The sequence below is a fragment of the Homo sapiens genome, chromosome 4 (genome assembly GCF_000001405.40).
Source record: "Homo sapiens chromosome 4, GRCh38.p14 Primary Assembly".
Classification (NCBI taxonomy): Eukaryota; Metazoa; Chordata; class Mammalia; order Primates; family Hominidae; genus Homo; species Homo sapiens.
The window spans coordinates 154,367,748-154,391,232 of NC_000004.12; the positions used below are offsets into that span (position 1 = coordinate 154,367,748).

Sequence of the window (23,485 nt, forward strand, 5' to 3'; positions counted from 1 at the left end):
AGGGAGGCACAGAGCAAGGAGGAAAAATGACAAGGAGGAAGAAGATTTGGCAAGGGACAGAGGGAGAACTGCTGCCATGCAGAGAGGAAGCACTTGTTGACAGGGAGAGAGGGAGGGCAAGAATGAAGATTGTATGGGAGGAAGGTAAGACAAACCCAGAAACGGCTGTCCTGCTCTGAGCTCTGAGCTCTGAGGTCCCTTGTACTCCAGGCTTTGAGGACTAAAAAATGATGGGGAAATAATTTAGAAATAGTCTGATTTTCCATGTTCTGAGTTGAATAAAGTGCCAGAGCCATGCCGGGTATCAATTAGAATAGGAGAAATGGGGCTGGTTATGATTCCACAAAGAACAATGCAAGTTCATCTATCTGGCCTTTATGCTTAAAATGCAGGGTCGCCCTACATCTGCAGCCACCCTAAGTAACCTGTATGTCTCCAGGTTCGACGTAGTAAGAGGGGACTGCACACTGGTGATAAGCTTATAGAAAATATTCCTTCACCTCTGCCACAGACCCTGCTGCTGCTCGAAACTGCCTTTCTTCTCAGTTTTGCTTTCCCTTTTCCTTTCCCCTTCCTCTTTCTTTTTTATTTCTCCTCAAATTCAAGAGGTCACTTAGGGTTGAGGTAAGAGAAGTAATGAAAAAGTGGGGAAAATATGAAGAAATGAATATTGCCCCAGCTTAAGATATTTAAGAACAAAGATCCTAAATCAGGCAGTGCTGTAAAAAATAAGCAAATGTTAGATGCACAAAGTGGAAAACGTATAATACTTTTTTTTTTTTTTTTGAGATGGAGTTTCTCTGTTGTTGCCCAGGCTGAAGTGCAATGGCACGATCTTGGCTCACCGCAACCTGCGCCTCCCGGGTTCAAGTGATTCTCCTACCTCAGCCTCCCGAATAGCTGGGATTACAGGCACACACCACCACACCCGGCTAATTTTGTATTTTTGGTAGAGATGGTCGACTGGTCTCGAACTCCTGACCTCAGGTGATCCACCCACCTTGGCCTCCCAAAGTTCTGGGATTACAGGCATGAGCCACCATGCCTGGCCAACAATACATTTTTGTTGCCGGTAGGGTAAGCACACTAGTGGGGCTAGAGAGGGCTGGGCATTTAGTGACAGAGGCTGGGCAGAATCCAGAGGACAGGCTTGGCAGTCAGATTCCTCTCACCTGATTTAAGTGCTAAAGAGGACAGATTTATTCTACTCCATCAGTATAAAATGTGGTGTGTACATTCTTAATATATATTTTTTATCTGTTAATAAACTGTATATACATTTACTGTGCTAATGTATTACTTATATTACAAATATCAGAAAACTAAAATGTAAAAGGACAGAATTCTAATGTTGTCTTCTTAAACACCCACATGGGACAACTATTGCTATCCTCAATGAAATGACAAGATCAAATCTAGATTTTAGAAAGAGGTATCTGGGATAGGGAAGAAGAGATGCATCTTTACAAAAAAGGTAGAGAACTTCCTCAGACAAAAAGGGGGGAAAATGCTGAATTCACCAAGTTAAGTGGATGCATTCTATGCCTCAGAACTTCTCACAGAGCCTTTTGCACATACATTTCTAGAGGGAGTGAGTTCTGAGGTGTTCCCCACTCTTTTTAGGCCCCAGAATGCTCTTTGAAAGAAACATATTGGGAAACCAGTTTCCCACAGAACACAGTGCGGGAATAGCTGATCTAAACTAATTTTCTCCATCCACTTAGAGTGTGCACTTCCCAATGCTGTGTAGCTAAACTTTTGTCCAGCTCATGGAAACTGTTTCGATAATGCAACCTCATGAGAGACTGAGTCAGAGCCACCCAGCAAAGCCACTTGCAGGTTCCTGGCCCTTAAAAACTATATAAGATAATGAATGTTTGCTATTTTAAGCTGCTAGATTCAGGAATAATTTGTTATACAGCAATAGGTAGCTAATACATCCCATAAATTCCATGCATGAGTATGTCTTAATTTTGTCTTATCATTTCTTTTTCCACTGATGATTCATGTGGCATTTTTATTTCATTTTCAGCATTTAATTGTGAGGATTATGGTAGGAAACCCAATTTCTTCAAGTTATACTATAAAAGATGAAAGTTGTTTGGGAAAGCTCCAAGCTTGAAAACATATAATATTGGAGGCAGGAGGGTCGCCTAGGGCAATCAGCAGGTAGGGAACATTTTCTACCGTTACTTCTACTTTGGTAATTGTCTGCTTTCCATTCTCTTTGTTCTTGCCTTCTGGGACTCCTGAATAGTAGAATATTAATAACATCTCTCCTTCACATCTCTCAGCTCTTGTGAGCTGTGGTTTCATTCCAGTGAGCTTTCTATGTCAATGAACTCCAGTCTATATTTCATGATTCAATAAACAAAGGTGGAAGGAAATGAGGTTCCAGCTTCTTAAAGGGGAAAAAAAAGAAACATAAGTTGTGACATCACCAAATCCAAGAGAAGCAGCATCTAAAGAATATTTTCAAATTCATTGAGAGGATGAATCAGATAAAAATAAATAAAGAATCCCAGGTTATGGCACGACAGTAACCATGTAGAGAAAAGCAGTCTTATAGAAGAGGTAGAGAGGGAAAAATAGATCAAATAAAGATTGAAAAGTGAGGAAATGGAGACCACTATTTTAGGAGACTTGCTGTGAAGAAAGAAGAAGAATAAAATGGTTTTCTGAAAAGGTACATGACATCAAAAGGAATCCAGAGTATTTTTTAAGATAGAGACTATTATTATGCCCTGTATGCTTATGAGGGTCATCCAAAAGAGCTTGATAAATTAATGATGCAGGAAAAAAGAGAAAATCATTATAGAAATGTTATCTGTAAGAAGGCTGGAATGGATGGGACCCTAAACAGTAGAGAGATTTGCTTTTGATGCAAGCAGGGACATCTCTAAAAAGATAATAGAAAAGAAAGCAAAGAATGTGAGCTGATACGCAGGTAGGTTAGTGGATTTGGTGGTAGGAAGGTAAGACCTTTCTCTCTCAAGCAGACCTGTTATTTTTCTCCAAGTACTTCAGCTGCTGAGATGGCAGTGCAGAAAATGCAGCGTCAGATTTACGTAGGGCTGGGGTTTTACCAGGAGAGTTCTATTGAATGGGAAAACTAAAGGGAGTTTGCAACTGAGTGACTTTAGTGATGGGTAACAAATCAATGATCTTAACATGGGAGAAGAATTATTGATTAAAGTGGACGTGCTACAGTAAATTAGACAGAAAGATAAAAATGTTTATCAGGAACAGCATGCTTGAAGCCAAGATATCAAAGCTGTGCAATTACTGGTGACAATCCTTGGAAATGAGAAAGTCAAGGAACTGAGAGGCTCAGGGTGCTGGGTTGTTCAGCAAATGATAGTAAAGTCTCCCAGAATGATGAGGAAACTGGTGAAGAGGAAGACTGTGAACAAAGTGTGAAAGTCCTAAGTGATAAGGAGGTTTAAGTCATGACAGGAAAAAAAAAAAAGAGGAGAAGTATCTATGGTATAGTCAGACAACAAGAACTTCAAAAGGGATTCGTTTTTGATGGAGAAAGGAGTAGAAATTATTTGGATGCTGCCCTGGGCAACAAGCAGGGCACCCAACTCACTTCCTGTCAGCTTGTGATTGGTGGACTATGGGCTTCCTTGTGAGAGTGCAGAAAGGAACGGGTATCCTTGTGGGGTAGGTTGTTTTAATCAGGGCCGAAAGTTAAAGAAACAATCAGAGACCAGCTTAAGTTCATAAAGGAGTTTGCTAAATAATGGACCACGAGTTCCAAAGGGCATGGTAGAAGCATTTCGAAGGGCAGAGAAGGCAGGTAGGTGTATTAGTCCATTCTCACATTGCTATAAAAAAAGAAACCTGAGACTGATTAATTTATAAGAAAAGAGGTTTAATTGGCTCATGGCTCTGCAGGTGAACAGGAAGCATAGCAGCTTCAGCTTCTGGGAAGGCCTCAGGAAGCTTCCAATCATGGCAGAAGGCAAAGGGGGAGCAAGACATCTTAAGTGGTAGGAGCAGGAGCAAGAGAGAAGGCGGAGGCAGAGGGGTGTTGCTACACACTTTTAAATAACCAGATCTCATGAGAACTCACTCACTATCAGGAGAACAGTACCGGAGGGGGATGGTGCTAAACTATTCATGAGAAATCCACCCTCATGATCCAAACACCTGCCACAAGGCCCTACCTCCAACGCTGGGGATTACAATTCGACATGAGATTTGATGGGACACAGATCCAAACCACATCAGTAAGAGATTGATTTAAACTAAGGGATGAACTGGGCAGGGTGGGGAGGAGAATATGGATAATAATAAATGGCTTGGATGCTTAAACTTTTAGAGATTAGAAGGAGGTAAAGGAGTATTGAAGATAATTTGGGATACATCCTGGTCATATATTAAAGAATGATGGGAAATCTAAGATATGGTCCAGGCAATTTAGTTAGAAAACACGGGACAATGGGGGGATGGGGCAACTGCTCATTCCTAGAACAGGTGGAGGGTGCTAATGAAGGAAACGAAAGACAGGAATAAGCATTTGAACATTTGTTAGAAAGTTAAAGAACATAATCTATTAAAATGAAAATGAATGTGCCTTTTTACTCAGCAAGTTTACTTTTTGGGAGTAACTGCATTGCACACAAACTATGAGCACAACTTCAGTAGCCAACTTTTCTCATGAATGTAAAGAACAGTGAAGAGCTCAGTCCGTTTACTTCCTTTCTTGCTCGTCTGACAAAATCCTCCCTTAAACCTTCAGTGGTGAGATGGAGTTGAAATAGCTTTATCTCAAACACATATGTCAGCTACAGAATCCAGGATGTAACAAAAAATAGAGATAGAGTGTTAATAAGCACATACACCAAAAAAAATCTATTTGGTAAAAATGAATGGGAAAAGGAAACAAAAAATTAGATATAAGCATGGAATAATTAAATTGTAGAGCTTTCTTGTGAAAAACCACTTGATTGCCAATGTAATTCAATTGTTTGGTTACATTATGTAATTTTATAGCATTCTCATGACTTATGAGATAAATAGCAGCAGCAGTAGCAGCAGCAGCAAAAATAGAGTATTTCAGAAGTAATATCAGTAGAGTAGAAGTGACTCAGTTGAAAAAATATTGACAGTCTTCACAAGGATAAATAGAGCAGTAGCAACGAACATCAATGTATTTTACAAGAAAAATTCTTCTACTGGCAGATAAAAATCTCTTAGTAACCACCAGCAAATGGGTTCTCAGCAATTTTCTTCTAAAGGGCTTTCAGGACATTTATTACAAAGAGAAGGAATCAGAGGAAAAACCAGAGATTGTCAAGGTAACAACATAAAGTTAAAGGACTTCTGTCAAGGTTCAGTTTATTGGTTTAAATAAACTCATTATGGCCTAGAATCCAACAACGTAAACCTAAAATGTCCTGTCTGCATTAATTTATTCTTTGAATGCAGTCTACGTTGCTTTCAGGGGAAGACTACTGAGTCATTACCAACTTTGTCATCTTTCTCTTTACCAACCTTTTTGACTATGCATTTCTGAGGGACATGTACTGCTAAATAATATTGCAAAGAATAATTATGATAGATGCAGAAGTCACCCTGTAAAAACTCAGTTCATCACAGAAGAAATTCATGAGGATTATGCAGTCAACAGAATAAATGCTGCACACTGGATAACCTTGTATTTGTATATATGTTTACATACATATATACATACTATATGTGTATACATACACATACACTCACATGAAAACACATATGTTGCTTGCTCTCCATATATTCTGAGGCAAACATAAGGAATGCTGGAGGCAGTTTTAGGTCCAGAGTGAAGGTTGGGGATTTGTTAAAAGCCTGTGATGTGGAGGCTCTTCTAGAATTTGTCTTTTAAAATGCATCCCTGGGCTTGTGCCAGGTCCCGTTTTCACATAAACCTACTTCAGGAGGGGTCCTGCTTCCAGGAGGGGCCCTGCTTCCAAGAGGGTTCCCTCCTGCACACAGCTCCCTGTCTGGATCTCCATTCAGCCTCATACCTGCAAGACGGGCAAGAGGGCAAGAAGGAGAAAATCACAGCCAAGATGGAGAAGGTGTGCAAGCACTCAGGGGAGAAGGAAAACTCGAAGCTCTGACAACCCATTTCCAGGCACCAGATGTTAAAAGACTCAGATTATAGAAACATCATGTTCCTTACCTTCACCAGGGCTAAATGTGTCATTCTCTGCTCATCCTGAAAACAATGAATTGATCCTTTTTGGAGGTGGATATTTTAATAGCAAAAAAAAAAAAAAAAAAAAAAACTTGCTTATATAACCACCTCTATATCTACAATACCAGAAAAGACACCTGGATTAAAGTCAAAATTCCCAATGCACTTCTGGAGCACTGTGCTTTCCAGGCTGTGGTGGTGCATTGATATGACAGACAGGTTATGAGCATTTGCAGGGGAGCTTGCTTCTCCTGATGGACAGCAGTTCTACGACTACAAGGATCTCTGTGTCCTGCATCTGGCCACCAAAACCTGGAAACTAGTTGAATCAACAGGGGCTTGTTTAGATCACAGTGGACAGCAGACAGTAGCCTGGAAGACACAGCTAATTCTTTTTGGTGGTTTTCATGAGAGTTGTGTTTTAAACCCATTATTCAATTCTAGGATGGCATTATACAATTGTCTCAAAATCTATCAAGAATATATTTTTAAGGCTTGGATTAATATTTGGGTGTGCATCTATTGGGCTTCAAATAATTACATATACTTGAATTAATATAAATTCTGTTTACTCCTATTTTTTGTTTCCTACATATTTTCTTACATAGAGTCAGGGATTCCTGAAACTACATAGTAAGGTATTGGCAAAAATCTAACCAAACAGATCATGAATATTTATTGAATATAAAGGGCTGTACTTCATGTTCATTTTTACATGTTTACTTGTAATATATTTAGACTCATTTTTTCCCCAAAATTCACAGCTTAAATAGGTGGATTCTCTCACTAATTTCAAAAGAGAATGATTAGACCAGAGAGGTGTTAGTAGGGTCTGTCTATACAAAAGAGTAGTAAGCAGATGAAAAAGAAACAAGGAAGGTCTTCAAAATGTATAAGTGAAAAATATAAGTAAAGTCTCCAAAATGAAATAAGTGAAAAAAAATCAAAGCGCAGAACGGTGTGTATAGTAGGCCACCTTTTCTGTAAACAATGTAAATTGAACACGTTGTTTCTAAACTGTATTTGGAAATGTAAATGGTCAAGAATAGTCAAGGTAATCTTAAGTTAGAACAAAGCTAAAAGAATGTATGATACCATGACCTATGATAAAGCTAAAATAGTTAAGAGAGATGTTGCTAGCACTAAGGTGGATAAATAGGTAAAAGTGAGAATAACCATTTCAGTAAGTGGTGCTGAGTTAATCATAGGGGAAAAAATAACAAAACTTCTTCCCACTAGATTGAAAAAAAGTAAGTATGAAAGGTAAAACAAAACAAAAGTTTTGGAAGAAAACAATAAGAGAACATCTTCATATCCCTAAGATAAGCAAATATTTCTTAAAAGAACACAAAAATCACTAGCTATAAAAGGAAGCAAACTGAGAAACTACTAAGCTCTATTATAATGAAGAACTTCTGTTCCTCAAAAGAAACCATTAAGAATAGAAAAGGCCAGCCACGGAATGGGAGAAAAATATATGCAGTAAATATATCGAAAAAAGGACTTTCAGGCCAAAAATATAAAGAACTCATGCACATCAGTAAGAAAAAGATCCAACAATAACAATGGAAAATGAATAAAGGATTTTCTTCTGTGAAGAATAGACACTTCACAAATTATACGAATAGCAATAAACATGAAAAAAAACCTCATTAGTTATTAAACAAATACAAAGTAAAACCCCAGTGTGATATATCATTACATAAGTACTATTATTTCTATAATAAAAAAGGCATTAAATATCAAACATTAGGGAGAATGTGTAGCAAATGAAATTTTCATACTTCACTGGTGGGAGCGCAATTCTACTCCTTTGTATATACTCAAGAGAAATGCTTACATTTGTTCACCATATTGCAAGTATAAGAATGTTAAAAGAAGCATAGCCTAAAATGGATACCACCAACTATAGAACAGGTTAAAATTATTGTATATTCACATAAAGGCATACTATAAGCCAATGAGAATGAGTGAACTATTGCTATACACAACAGCATAAATGATTCCGGCAAATAATTTTCAGCAAAAGAAACTCGACAGAAACACATACTGTATGATTCCATTCACTGAAAGTTAAAAAAATTGGTATACTAATGCTTGGTGTTAGAAGTCAACAGTGGTTTCTAAAAAGGCAGGGATGGGGGCATGGAGGGGTGGATGGAGGACAGTTACAACAAGATGCAAAGAGGGGGCTTCTGGGTTCCGGTAACGTTTTCTCATTTGCTTTTATGGGTCTGTTGATTTTGCAGAAATCCATTGAGCTATACACTTATTATTTGTGCATTTCTCTGTATGCATTTTATATGTCAATTAAAAAGTTTAACAACAAAAAAAGACAAAGGAATCAAACTGAAGGTGCCTTCACTGATCAAGAATGGGCCAATGAGAACATCAGAAAGGATAGGGTCAGCAATGTATTGAAATACATCAAATTTTTTAAAATCCAGGAATTTATACTCAAATTAGGAAAAAGACATTATTGTTTACCTTTGGAGATAATTAAGACAGCAAGTTACTATTAAAAAAAACTGGTAAAATAAAAACAAATAATCAAGCCTTATCCTGCAATTCCTGTATGAATTATACTTAAGAGTAATCAAATAGTTGTTGTGAGAACATTTTCCTTAGTTGAAGAATTCCAGATAATAAATGCAAAAGGAATAATAGAATTCAAAAGCTACCATTTTTCAACCTCTAAGAAAATAATGGTATGTGTCTGCTGATGCAATAAGAAGCAAATGGCATCACCTAAATGAATCTGAAAACAATCAGCTCTCTGTCTCTAATGCTAGTTTATAGGAAATAGAGGGAATGGAAGAACACAGTAAATGAATCCCAAGGATGTAATCAGCCACATTTAGCATGTGGAAAATCTACCGGACAAATGACTTGGTTTTTTAAAAAAGCCATAGGAGAACAGGTAAGAGGCCTGACTGTTACAGATGGAAACTTAAAGAATATATCGATCAAATCAATTGTGAACTTATTTGGATCTTCATTCAAAGAAACCAACTATAAAAGACATGTTTTGATAATCAAGAAAATTTAACATAGAAAGGATATAAGATATCATTAAAGCATTATTGTTAATGTTTTGTAGTTCTGTGTTTTTAAAGTCATTTTTAGAGATATTCTTGAATTATTTATGGGTGAAATAACATGCTGGATATTTGCTTCAAAAAACTTCAGCAAAGGAAAGAGGTAGTGACACATGAAACAGAATGACCCAATTGTTGATCATCATTGGTCCTCTGTGATGTATACACAGTGGCTCACTTGTGATTATGTTTAAAATAAACTTCATACATAAAAACTTACCCCATCCTTAGCTTCCACCAGGAGATCATAGGTAGCTGGATCCCTTTCCCTGTCGATATCTTGAGAAACACAGATTTGCCCATCATGAGGGTCGATCCGGAATGCCTGAGGTGCTTCATAGCTCAGGAATCCATCATAAAGAGAATATTCAATAAAGCCATAGAGTCCTGAATCTGCATCAGAGGCTGTCACCTGTGAGACAGGAGGGTGATCAGGAGGAAACAGAAATGCTAGCATTACTTTTCAGTCAGTCATGAATTATTAAAACAATTTGCACAACCACATAACCCCCATAGCTATTCACAAAGCCTAGGCTTTGGTTTCATATCTCTCTCCTCGCTTACCTTCTGTGATAATTCCCCCTTCACTTTTCTCCTTTCTTTGTGAGTTCTCCTTTTCAATATCTCTTGCCCACTCCTATCTTTTCAGATGATCTCTGAAAGTTTGAGGTCCCTAAGGACCTTATTTCATTCACTTATAGTCTTCTTATTTCATTCACTATACGTAACTAATCTCATCCAATCTCAAAGATTTAAGAATACCCATAGGATTAAGGACTTGACAGCCAAGCTGTTGATTCCCTCTCATACCTAGGCCTTCAAGTGATAGGCTTGATGCCCCCCACCTTTGAGAGCAGCAAGGGGAGGGCCAAGAAATCAAGACAGTAAATGCCACCATTACTAGAAACCCAATCCCAGTGACAGAATTCACACTGGAATGTGAGAGTTGAGTCTCCCTGGCCAGCTTTCCTTCTGGGAGTAATGTCTCAATCAGGGCCCTGCACAGTGGTGTAGCATTCAGTCTGCAGGTGCCTGTAGGTACATGGGGAATGAAATCCAGCCCATGCTGTGCTCGCCAAAACAGGCACAAACACTGACATGCCCAGAGGAAAAGGCACCGTCTTATTTTGCCATACGTACCACTTATGTTACCAGCAATCCTGTGCCTGATAGAAAAGATGAAGCAAGTGAAATTATGAAAGCACTTAACTTATTTATACTAACTGTGGGAGTATATAGTGAGAAATACAACAGGCTCTATAGAACTCAAAAAATTCTCAAGCTCATAGGCTCATGATAGATAATGCTTTTAATTTACAACCCAACTAACAGTAAGAGCAAACACCTACATAGCACTTACAATAAAAGCAGCACTTTAAGGGAAGACAGAAAGAAAGAGAGGAAAAGAGGAGGAGGGAAGGAAGGAAGGGAGGAAGGAAGGAAAGAAGGAAGGAGGGAGGGAGGGTGGGAAGGAAGGAAGGAAGGAAAGAAGGAAGGAAGGAAGGAAGGAAGGAAGGAAGGAAGGAAGGAAGGTAGGAAGGATTCCGTGCTACAGAACACGTACTCTTATAAGAGCTTAAAGTACATCACATACTTACAACCTATAGGTACTAACGTTCACTCTTCAGATCAGACAAGTCAGGCTCAGAGAGTTTATGTAACGGGCCAAAGGTCACATAACGAATAAGTGTCAAAACTGAAATTCTTATCCATACAATTGGCAGCAGAGGGCATGCTCTAATGACCATGATCTATGTGCTGCCTCCCAAGTCTGACACCTTGTCATATAATCCTTTATTTACAGAAAAATCAGACCCCAAATCTCCTGACCTTCCTCTGATGCAGAATGTGCTAGATTATGTGTAGCACCATTCCAAGTAAATGTTTACCCCAGGTATATGTTGTTTCTCACCATAATATCATTAACATGAAGAAAGGCAACTAGTAGTGGTGCCTGTGCTCTTAAGTCTTAGCTGAACCTTCTATTCCATGTGATCAAATTCCAAATGGGTTCCAGAATGCAGAAATATAAAGTGATGACAATTGGAAATAAAAGAGAATTAAGCAGATTAATTCAGAAAGTCCAACTTCCCACTAATGGACATCACAGAAAAAGAGAAGAGAAAACAGATAAAATGGAAAAAAAAGGAGCAAAGGAGCAGCTATTTCTTTGGTTCACAAGGACACATACATGCAAGGTCCCCAAAGTCACTCTGACAGGGAAGGAGAGAGATGGAAGAGGCATTCTGGCTTTTAACTTCTTTGGCCCAGAAGCCGTGCTCAGCTCACATTCCACTGGGCAGAACCAGTTATATGTCCCCAGCTTAGCTGCAAGGGAGGCTGAGAAAAGGAGAGGAGCATGAGGATATTTGGTGCATACAAATAGTCTTTGTCATACATATCATTTAGTCTAGAATATGTGAAGACAGGCACATAAGATTATGTAGGTCTCCAAGTAGATGTAGTGAAACTTAAGCACGAGGAAAGTTATACCCAGAAATGGCTACCCAGTGCCACTCTACTATAGATTTAGTTTTGGAAAGTAATTCTGGCTGTCTTGCATATATTTGTAAGCCTTTTAGGAGGGAGGCAAAAATAAAAGACAATTTCATCACCTACAATATTTGTGCTCTTATTATACTCATTTAACTCTGGACTGAAAACAAAATAATAAGCTTTTCATCAATATAATATACATGCAGGAGCTACAACTTAATTACAGTACTTCCCAAATAAAGCTTCATCCTGACAACATGTTCAACAAAGTTCTCAATAAACCTTCTCCTTCATCCTGTTCCATCTTGAGCATATAACCAGAATGTGACTTTTGGAGCTATTTTGAAGTAGTCTAGCTTAGTGGTTCTCAACTAGGGACAAGTTTGCCCCCCAAGAAGACATTTAGTATGTCTAGAGACACTTTTGGTTGTCACAACTGGGGAAGGGTTTCTACTTTCATTTAATGGGTTAATTTAATGGGTTAATTCGAGAGATACTGCTGCAATGTATTATATAACATCCTACAATGCATAAGATAGACTTCACAACAAAGAATTATCTGACCCGAAATGTTAGTAGTGCCTAGACTGAGAACCCCTGGGCATGATGAAACTCCTACCAATTGGCAGTGTTATTTTCCTGCTTTAATTGTCTATTTCTTAAACTGATGATACAGCCTTTAAATTTATCTTTTCTCTCATCTATCTCATATTCTGTAGCAAAATTATTCATCCTGTGCAACCATCTAACATATTTATAAGTTCTTCTCATCACTTCTTCTCATATTGTGATTCTTCTCATCAGTTGGGCTGAAGCAGGAAATCCACAAATTTCCCCACTACAAAGAACTAAACTCCAAATACATTTGGTCTATTCTATTCTGACAGCTGTTAATAATTTAGAAGCTTCAAGTTCCTGAAGACACCAAATATATCTTCTAAAGCCATATGGTATTCTCAATAACTTTGGCTTCATTGAAAGACACATACAATGAACTTTTAAATTTTAAAATTCATTCTTAGCCTTTAATAGTACATATTAATAAGTGATTCAGCTTATATAAAACAAATTTCCTTACTTCCACTTTCAAGACCTTTTTCTCATCTGGACTTTTGGCAAAGCAAAATGTAAGGAGACAAAAGTAGGATAAAAGTATTGATCTCAATTTATGTTAGCAATTCATATTCTGAGTTTCAGAATCGTAACATAAGAATGTTTTTCTTCCTGTTGTGACCAAAATACCTAAAAATATTGACCTAGTATTCTCAACAACATATCCCACCTATTGGGTCTTGAATGCCTAGAATTAATATTGGGTCTTGAATGCCTAGAATTAATTTGACATCTTTCTAAGATTTATATTTTCCAATATCCATTGACTGACACATAAAATTTAGGCAAATTGAGTAATAGAAAATGGAAATGGCTTTGTCAAAGCTTCAAGAGGAAATCTTGCTTAGTTAATAAGCTCCATGGGCCCTTTCTCCAAAGATGATTGTTTAAATTGAAGCAAGAGGCACCTGGCCAACTCCATTATCGCAATCTTATGGTGCTGATTGAGCATCAGAGGATATCTCAAGAGGATTTTATCCCTACGTCTACTTATTGAGCCACATTACAGCACTCTAAATAACATTCCTGTGTTCTTCATCCTAATCTCAATTTACCTATTTTAGACAGAGATGAATCTGATACTTTTCACTGTAAACTTCTTCCAACTCAGAATTGTTCTCCCCAAGTCTATCTTTCACAAGTTTGATGGAAACATTATAAAAATGCAAAATATCAATATATTATTAAAATCCCCCTGATTCCATTGTTAGCTTTCTGAGATTTAAATAATTTTTATCAGACAAGGATATACACTTTCGCCACTCCTATTCAACACAGTACGGGAAGTCCTAGCCAGAGCAATCGGGCAACAGAAAGAAATAAAAAGCATCCAAATAGGAAAAGAAGCCAAACTATCTCTCTTTACTGACAATATAATTCTATAGCTAGAGAATTCGTAAGACTCTGCCAAAAGGCTCCTGGAACTGATAAACAACTTCAGTAAAGTTTCAAGATATGAAATCAATATACAAAAATCAGTAGCATTCCTATACAGCAATAATGTTCAAGCTGAGAGCCAAATCAAGAACACAATCCCATTTACAATAGCCACCAAAAAATAAAATACCTAGGAATAAATCTAACCAAGGAGGTAAAAGATCTCTACAAGGAGAACTACAAAACACTGCTGAAAGAAATCACAGACGACACAAACAAATGGAAAAACATTCCATGCTCATTGATTAGAAGAATCAATATTGTTAAAATGGCCAGACTGTCTAAAGCAATCTATAGATTCAATGCCATTCCTATCAAACTACCAATGTAATTTTACACAGAATTATAAAAAACCATTCTAAAATTCATACGGAACTGAAAAAATGCCCAAATAGTCAAAGTAATCCTAAGCAAAAAGAACAAAGTTGGAGGCATCACATTATCCAACTTCAAATTATACTATAGGGCTACAGTAACCAAAACAGCATGGTACTGGTACGAAAACAGAAACATAGACCAATGGAACAGAAGAGAGAACCCAGAAATAAAACATCACACCTACAGCCATCTGATCTTTGACAAAGTTGAATAAGCAATAAGGAAAGGACTCCTTAATCAATAAATGGTGCTGGGGTAGCTGGCTAGCCATATACAGAGGATTGAAACTGGTTGCCCACCTTTCACCATATACAAAAATTAAATGAATTTTAATTTCAACTAGATGAATTTTAATTTTAATACACAATAATTCACAATATACAAATATTTAAATGGATTAAATATTTAAATATAAGACCTCAAACTATAAGAATCCTAGAAGAAAACCTAGGAAACAACATTCTGGACATTGGCCTTGGAAAAAAATTTATTACTAAGTCCTCAAAAGCAATTGCAACCAAAACAAAAATTGACAAGTGGAATCGAATTAAACTAAAGAGCTTCTGCACAGTATAAGAAAATCCCAACAGAGTAAACAGACAACCCCTCAGAATGGGAAAAAATAATCACAAACTATATATCTGACAAAGGTCTAATATCCAGAGTCTATAAGGAACTTAAATAATTCAACCAGCGAAAAACAAATAACCCCATTAAAAAGTGGGCAAAAGACATTAACAGACACTTCTCAAAAGACGACATACAAGCAGCCAAGAAACATATGAAAAAAATGCTCAATATCACTAATCATCAGAGAAATGCAAATCAATACCACAATGAGATGTCATCTTGCACCAGTCAGAATAGCTATTATTGAAAAGTCAAAAAATAACAGATGCTGATGAGGCTATGAAGAAAAGTGGACACTTAAATACACTCTTGGTGAGAATGCAAATTAGTTCAGCCACTGTGGAAAGAAGGATGGAGATTTATTAAAGAACTACCATTCGAACAATAATCCAATTACTGAGTAAATATCCAAAGGAAAATAAATTATTCTACCAAAAAGACACATGCACTTGCATATTCATCACAGTGCTATTCACAATAGCAAAAACATAGAATCAACCTAGGGACCCATCAATGGTGGATTAGACAAAGAAAATGTGGAACATATGCACTATGGAATGCTACACAGCCATAAACAAGAAAAATATCATGTCCTTTGCAGAAACATGAATGCAGCTGGCTGCCATTATCTTAAGGGAATTAACACAGGAACAGAAAACCAAATACTGCAGTTCTCACTCATAAGTGGGAGTTATGGGTATAAAGATGGGGACAATAAACACAGGAAACTACTAGAAGGGGGAGGTTGGAAGAGGGTTGAAAGTCTACCCATTGGTTGCAATGCTCATTGCCTGGGCGATGGGATCAATTGTACCCCAAACCTCAGCATCACACAATACACTCACATGACAAATCTGCACATGTACCCCTTGAATCTAAAATAAAGGTTGAAATTACAAAAAATAAAGTAAAATACAAATAAATAATTTTTATTACTTCCTTCATATTAACATCTAGGTAAGAATTCCTCCCTATGAATGTGTCATGAAGACAGGAGACAAATTGAAATCACTGGCCCTTGAAGGCATGTTTCCATGGTTTTTGGATGTTCTACAAGTGGAATGGATCTGCTTACATCCCCCTCATCAGGATAATAGGGCTTCCTCCCCTTCAACATCAGTGGTCAGTCCAGCCATTTATATCAGCCAGACTCCACCCAAAAGGCATGATGTAACAGGGTTGGCCATAATTCCTCTGTCTACTCCTAAGCAATTGTACACTCAACTCAGCAAAATTTGTGAAAAAAAATAAAAACGTCTCAGAGCCCAGTAAAAAAGAGCAATAAAACAGGAGTTCTAGTGGAAAAAAAAATAGCAGCACTTAAGATGAAATTCAAAATGAAATAGCCCACTTTAATTTTTTTCTTATTACAATTTCCAGTTTTTCTATCCATGAGCATTTAACAATTTGTTTGAAGAAACAAAGTTATTAACACAACACACACATAGAACTTTACATAGAAAAGAAGAAAAAAATCATTAAATAACGTTTTACATTTGAAGCACTGGACAACCACTGATCCTGCAGCTGAAATAGGACTATAATATTCCAGTGGAACTTGGAATCAGCATTGGGGCCCACAACTAATGCAAGTATGCCACTCTCTGAACACCACTTGGCAAGTTCACCAAGTTCCAAAGTCTAATGATCGAGGCTTGATCTTTATTTTCTGAATTATTTGGCAGCCGTTCACACAGCTAGTCATTGCCTCCTTATTGAAACATCCTTCATCAGACACCATGTTATGGCCCTCCTCCTCATGCACCACCTGACTGACCTCACCTCAGTTTCCTTCACTGGTTTTGCGTTCTCTTCCTGGCTTCTGAACACTATAGCACCCCAGAGCTCAGTCTCGGGACTACCTCTTTTCAATCCACACTGACTGCTTGTAGGGGACTGAATGCTGGCCTCCAAAAAACCTCTGTCAATGTTCTAATCCCCAGAACCTATGACTATTCTCTTATTTGATAAAGTAGTGAGTACTACCTTATATGGCAACAGACATGATTAAGTTGAGGATTTTGAGAGGAGAATCTTATCCTTGCTTATCTGGGTGGGTCCTATATCCAACAAATGTCCTCACAAGAGATAGACAGAGGAAGGTCTGCCCAACAGAAGAGGAGGAGGCAATGTGACCAGGGAAGCAGAGATTGAAGGGATGTGGCCACAAGTCAAGGAACACCGACAGCCACCAGAAGCTGGAGGAGATAAAGAATGGATTGACCCCAGAGCCCCCAGAAGGAGCACAGCCCTGCTGGATTGCAGACTTCTAGTCTCCAGAACTGTGTGAAAGAATAATTTCCGCTGTTTTTTTTAATATGGAAATGTTTTTTATTTTTATTTTTATTTTTATTATACTTTAAGTTTTAGGGTACATGTGCACAATGTGCATGTTTGTTACATATGTATACATGTGCCATGTTGGTGTGCTGCACCCATTAACTCATCATTTAACATTAGGTATATCTTCTAATGCTATCCCTTCCCCCTCCCCCCACCCCACAACAGGCCCCAGTGTGTGATGTTCCCCTCCTGTGTCCATGTGTTCTCATTGTTCAATTCCCACCTATGAGTGAGAACATGCGGCGTTTGGTTTTTTGTCCTTGCAATAGTTTGCTGAGAATGATGGTTTCCAGCTTCATCCATGTCCTTACAAAGGACATGAACTCATCCTTTTTTATGGCTGCATAGTATTCCATTGTGTATATGTGCCACATTTTCTTAATCCAGTCTATCATTGTTGAACATTTGGGTTGGTTCCAAGTCTTTGCTATTGTGAATAGTGCCCCCAATAAACATACATGTACGTGTGTCTTTATAGCAGCATGTTTATAATCCTTTGGGTATATACCCAGTAATGGGATGGCTGAGTCAAATGGCTTTTCTAGTTCTAGATCCCTGAGGAATCGCCACACTGACTTCCACAATGGTTGAACTCCATCTCCAGGCTGGAGTGCAGTAGCACAATCTCGGCTCACTGCAACCTCCGCCTCCTGGGTTCAAGCGATTCTCCTGACTTAGCCTCCCAAGTGCTGAGACTACAGGTGCAGGCCATCATGCTCAATTACTTTTTTTTTTCTGCATTTTTAGTAGAGATGAGGTTTCACCACGTTGGCCAGGATAGTCTCGATCTCTTGACCTCGTGACCCACCTACCTCAGGCTCCCAAAGTGCTAGGATTAAAGGTGTGAGCCACCACGCCCAGCCCAATTTCTGCTGTTTTAAGCCACCAAATTCTTGGTAATTTGTTACTGCAGCCCTAGGAAATTAACACACTCCCTGAGTGGTCTGACCAGCCCACGACACTACACCAATCTCTGTGCCAATGACTCCCCAATTCTAAATCTCCATCTGGGCTCCAGACTCTGCATCCTCCTATGCCAACTCACACCTCACACGTCTTAAGTGACTAATTGGCATCTCAAATGCAACCTGCTCAAAGGGAACTCCTGATTCCCACCCCACTCCACCCCACAGTCTGCTACCCTCCCGGTCTTTTTAGTGAACGATACTACCATTCACTTTCTGCTACACACAGTCAGAGAGATACTGTCTAAAATGACACCAAATCCTATTACTCTCTTGCTAAGAATCTTTCAACAACTTCCCATCCTACCCAACATAATCCAAGTCTTTAATCTGACCCCTGGCTACTTCTCTGACCTCATCCTCCACTCCTGTCCGACTCTTTCACTCCCCTCTGGACACAGTGGTCTCCTCGACAGTCCTGGAAAACACTGGCTTGTTCCCACCTTAGGGCCTTGTACTTGGTGTTCTCTGTGCCTGCAAGGCCTTTCCTCCAGCCTTTAGTATAACATGCTCACATCTCTTTACTCTTTGTACACCTAATCACACAGGCCTTGATTGATGCTCTAGTCAAGAGTCACTTTACCTCTGTCTCACCTTTTTTTTCTTAACCCTGCTTTGCTTTCTTCAGAGAACTTATCTCCAAGTTATGTTGCATTATATATTTTTATTTATTTGTATATTGATAATAACATGTCTTCCCCACTGGAATTTAAGCTTCGGGACAACCATTACACTGATCTCGCCCCACCCCTAACCACCCCTGCTGCATCTCCAGCAGCCATAGCACTGGTGCCTAGTTCATATTGAGGTGCTAGAAATGTTTGTTGCATGAATTAATGAATCTAATACTGTGTATAGGATACAAGCACGTTTAAGAAATAAACTTTATGACTATTCTCTCTATTTGCCCTTCAGAGGAAACACATAAGAACAAGATGGTTCGTGACACTCATCAAACACTCATTGAGAAATAATATTTTTACTCATAAAACACTATCTATTAACGAAGCTATATTATCATACAATAAGATCCATAATACTTTTTCAAAGCCACTAAATGCTACAACTAAAATCAGCTAGGCAAAAAGAAAAGAAAACTATCTCAAAGCATGTGGAACTATTAAGATGTTGGAATCAGAACATCTTTTAAAAGGTTTAACCTTTTAAAATGTATGTTAAGAGAGACTCTCACAGCTATTAGATGAATAGGCTGAATACATATCCTCAAGTTACAGCCTGAAAAAGTTGTTACAATAGCATGTTTTTATTGCCTTAATTGAAGAATGAGTTTAAGCAACCACGAATTCTACTACTTAATTATTGTCCTTTCTTCCCACCTCAAAAAAGCAGTCTAAGGAAATTTTGTGAAAGGAGACCAGTGGGGTTTAGGGGAATGGAAAGTAACTTGTCCTATAAGGTGTTATAAAATAAACAATTAAAATAGTGTGATCTAATAAAAGAATTGGCAGGCAGATCAATAGAACACAAAAGCAAGACCTGAAACAGATCCTACTAAAACTAAAAGTGTATATAACAAAGAAAACCACTGAAGAATGTGGGTTTATTCACATAAATTGCTAGAAAAATTGGCAAAGTACATGAGGAAAAATCAGGATTGATATTAACCTCAGACCAAAAGAGATTCTACACCAATATGTTAAATGTAAATAATGAAATCATTTAAAGTACAAAGAATATATAAAGAAATATTTGGCTGATCCTTACATTGAAAAGAAATTTCAAAGCAAAGAAGTATTTCAAAATTAAAGCAGATCACAAAGGAAAAAGTCAATAAATTGACTACATAAAGGCTTAAACTCCATTATGTCAAAAATATACACAAAATATTAAAGGCAAATGAGGTATATCTGCAACAAATATATAGTAAAATGTTAATGTCCTTAATGTAGAAAGAGGACTTCAAAGATAAAAATAATACAGATTTCCCAGTAAAAACAAATAGCCAAAGGACATGAACAGACAATTCATAGAAAAATATATTTAAGATATTCAACTTCACTTGTAATTAAATAAATAAAAATAAAATAAAACTTTTGCCTTCCAAATTGGCAATCATTAAAATAATATATTAAGTTGTAGAAAGATGTATTAAGTATATGCTTATTCTTACAGCCCATCTGAAAAGTAACTCTGTGTTTACCACATATACATGTTAAACATTCTCCCAAATCTAAAAATATTCATCTCCTTTGACTCTGTTAGCATATTTCTAAGAATATACATAGAAAGATATTTGTATGAAAAACATATAATGTGGCATTATTTATTCTAAAACCCAAATGTCCAATCAGAAAAGAGTTGTTAAATAAATTAAAATTCATTCATAAGAGAGAATTCAATGTAGGCATGAAAATTGTATATTTAAAGACACAATAAAATGTCCAAAATATTGAGGTGAGTAAAAAAAAAGAAAGGTAACTAAAAATTACATATAAAAATCCCATTTATGCAAAAAAATTCAGTGTATACAATTAAAAACTGAAAGGAAATAAGCAAAGGGTTAAGTGATTTAATGTGGGGAATAGGTGATTTTTTTTTATTCCATTCATTTCTTTCCCAAATTTTCAAAAATAGATGTAATTTTTTTTTTTTTTTTTTGAGATGGAGTCTCCCTCTGTCGCCCAGGCTGCAGTGCAGTGGTGCGATCTCGGCTGACTGCAACCTCTGCCTTCTGGGTTCAAGTGATTCTCCTGCCTCAGCCTCCTGAGTAGCTGGGATTACAGGCGCACATCACCACGGCTGTCTAATTTTTTTTATTTTTAGTAGAGATGGGGTTTCACCGTGTTAGCCAGGATGGTCTCGATCTCCTGACCTCGTGATCCACCCGCCTCGGCCTCCCAAAGTGCTGGGATTACAGGCGTAAGCCACTGCGCCCGGCCAAATACATGTAATTTTATGGAAACATTATTATGAAAAAGAAGATGAGCATCAAAAAATATTAATCCTAAAAAAAAATTGTATTTGATAGGCATTGGCCGTCTGTCTATTGAACTATTATGAGTGCATCTTCACAGTACTGGGTTCTTGAAGACCCACTACAGCACGGATGGGGAGGAGTCACAGGGCTGAAGGCATTACTGATGTCTAAACCAGGGGTGAGCAAGGGCCGGACAGTAAATATTTTAGGCTGCACAAGCCATAAAGTCTCTGTTACAACTACTCAACTCTGCCATTTTAGCATGAAAGAGCCGTGGACAATAAGTAAATGAATGGCTGTGTTCCAGTAGAATTTTATTTACACATATCAATATTTGAATTTCATGTCACTTTCAATTGTCATGAAATATTATTTCTCTCTCTCTTTTTTCAACCATTTAAAAATGTAAAAACCATTCTTACCTTTTGTACTAGGTGGTACAAAAACAGACAGGAGGCTGGATCTGGGCCATGTGCCATGGTTTGCTAACCCCTGATCTAAAGCATAAGAAGTAATCTTTAGAAAAACAGAGTCAACACTTCAGGCCCAGGAATACCACTTCAGAATGACCTCAGTCCAGTGCATATCAGGGGCTTGTTTGACATCCTGGATTTGAGCTGGTCTCACAGACAGGTTTACTATCCATGTATTGCTGTCTCTATGTTCTATTCCTAAAGACAAAGGTTATATATATATATATATATAACCTTTTTTTAAAGGACCTAAACTATTTGACTTCAAAATGCTTTCACTGAGTGAAATTTTTATATCATGACTTTATATTTTACAAAAATTTCATTTTAATCATTTGTCTTTGGAAAAACTAAAACAGAAAATGGATTTATTACAGGATCCAGTAATTCTTTAATCGAGATCCTTTTAACTTTAAATCTAATCACACTCCACGACCCCCACCCCTCCTCGAAAAACACACACACAAATCAAACAAAACAAAAACCTCTCCATGGTACCTATGCTAAAGTTGAAGGAAGTTAAAGTTAGAGGAATAGAGTGTCTGCACAGGAGCTCTCATTCCAGAGCTCCTCTCTACCAAACACCCTGTTTCAATAAGGCCTTGTCTGCCCTCACAGGTAAGATACTCATCTTTAAGAGAATAATTAATTTATATTTATGGCATAAAAATTAGGTTGCTGGTAGCTGATCCACGGACTGGCACTTCAACATCTTTTTAGATTACTTGCTTTTGAGTTATTAAATTATTTCAGTGAACTGACCTAGGCTGTTGATACTCTTTTTTTTTATTTTTTTAAATTTTTTTATTTTTTTTCTTTTATTATTATACTTTAAGTTTTAGGGTACATGTGCACATTGTGCAGGTTAGTTACATATGTATACATGTGCCACGCTGGTGCGCTGCACCCACTAACTCGTCATCTAGCATTAGGTATATCTCCCAATGCTATCCCTCCCCCCTCCCCCCACCCCACAACAGTCCCCAGAGTGTGATGTTCCCCTTCCTGTGTCCATGTGATCTCATTGTTCAATTCCCACCTATGAGTGAGAATATGCGGTGTTTGGTTTTTTGTTCTTGCGATAGTTTGATACTCTTAATCCTGTGGCCAAAGAATACATGGAAATACTGGTAGCAACTGTAAGTAACTGGCTGACTAATGCTCAAAAGTTACCTCACTTTTATATCACTAAGTCATTCACACACACACACACACACCCACACATGCACACACACACACTAGCCCAAATACACCTACATCATCTTTCATTTCCAGATACTCCTGAAAAACAAGTTATGACGCCTACTTTCCCAAGTTCTTACTATATGACTTCAAATTCTCTTTTTAACTGTTTATTATTAGCATTAACAGTGTTAGTAACAAGTGAAGTTCTCTTAGTTCTGGTTCATATGATCATTGTCATGTACAACTCTAACTATTCAGGACAACAATCATTTTCAAATACATTTGTACTATTCTTCATCACCAAACAATAATAAAATAAAGAGAAAGAAACCATATGTAAACAACAAAGCAATCCATGACCGAATATTTTCATAGTATTCTTACAGGTATCTGGAAACACACAAAAAGTATATGATTAGAAAATTTTATTTATCCAAAAATGAATTTGGATTACAAATACTATATGTCTATCATAGATATTGATAACGTCTAATACCATAAAACTTTAAATGACAAACAAATTCATGAGAGGATCCTAGCTAAGTATTTCTTCCAAGGCTTTATTTCCCTGAAGCTCAGAAGTAAATTCTTTGGCCAGTATGAATCTCATATGTAATTTAGCAGAAGGAACAGACTTATAAAAGCTGATACTTATTTTTAATTTTTGTTCTTACCTCTGAGATTTCACAATGGAATTTATTTTCACATACACCTCATATACACAGGCATCAGTACTTTCAAAC

The 23,485-nt window shown here is 37.4% G+C and overlaps 1 protein-coding gene and 1 pseudogene across 2 annotated transcripts in view, besides 1 other annotated feature; one reads left to right on the plus strand and one right to left on the minus strand.

Moving 5' to 3' along the window:
• The window catches only part of DCHS2 (dachsous cadherin-related 2), a 260,058-nt gene that overhangs the window by 136,006 nt on the left and 100,567 nt on the right, over window positions 1-23,485 (minus strand). For both annotated transcript variants that reach the window (NM_001358235.2, NM_001142552.2), the window contains exon 2: window positions 9,506-9,697. In NM_001358235.2, coding sequence (NP_001345164.1) covers window positions 9,506-9,697 — 192 coding nt within the window. The remainder of the gene's footprint in view (window positions 1-9,505; window positions 9,698-23,485) is intronic.
• Window positions 580-649: an enhancer, noted in NCBI's record as "active region_22073". NCBI's record gives its function as "activates an Ori minimal core promoter by ATAC-STARR-seq in GM12878 lymphoblastoid cells {active_cell/tissue: GM12878}" and the evidence as "EXISTENCE:reporter gene assay evidence [ECO:0000049][PMID:35858748]".
• LOC100419960 (kelch domain containing 4 pseudogene) lies at window positions 6,042-6,602 on the plus strand (annotated as a pseudogene).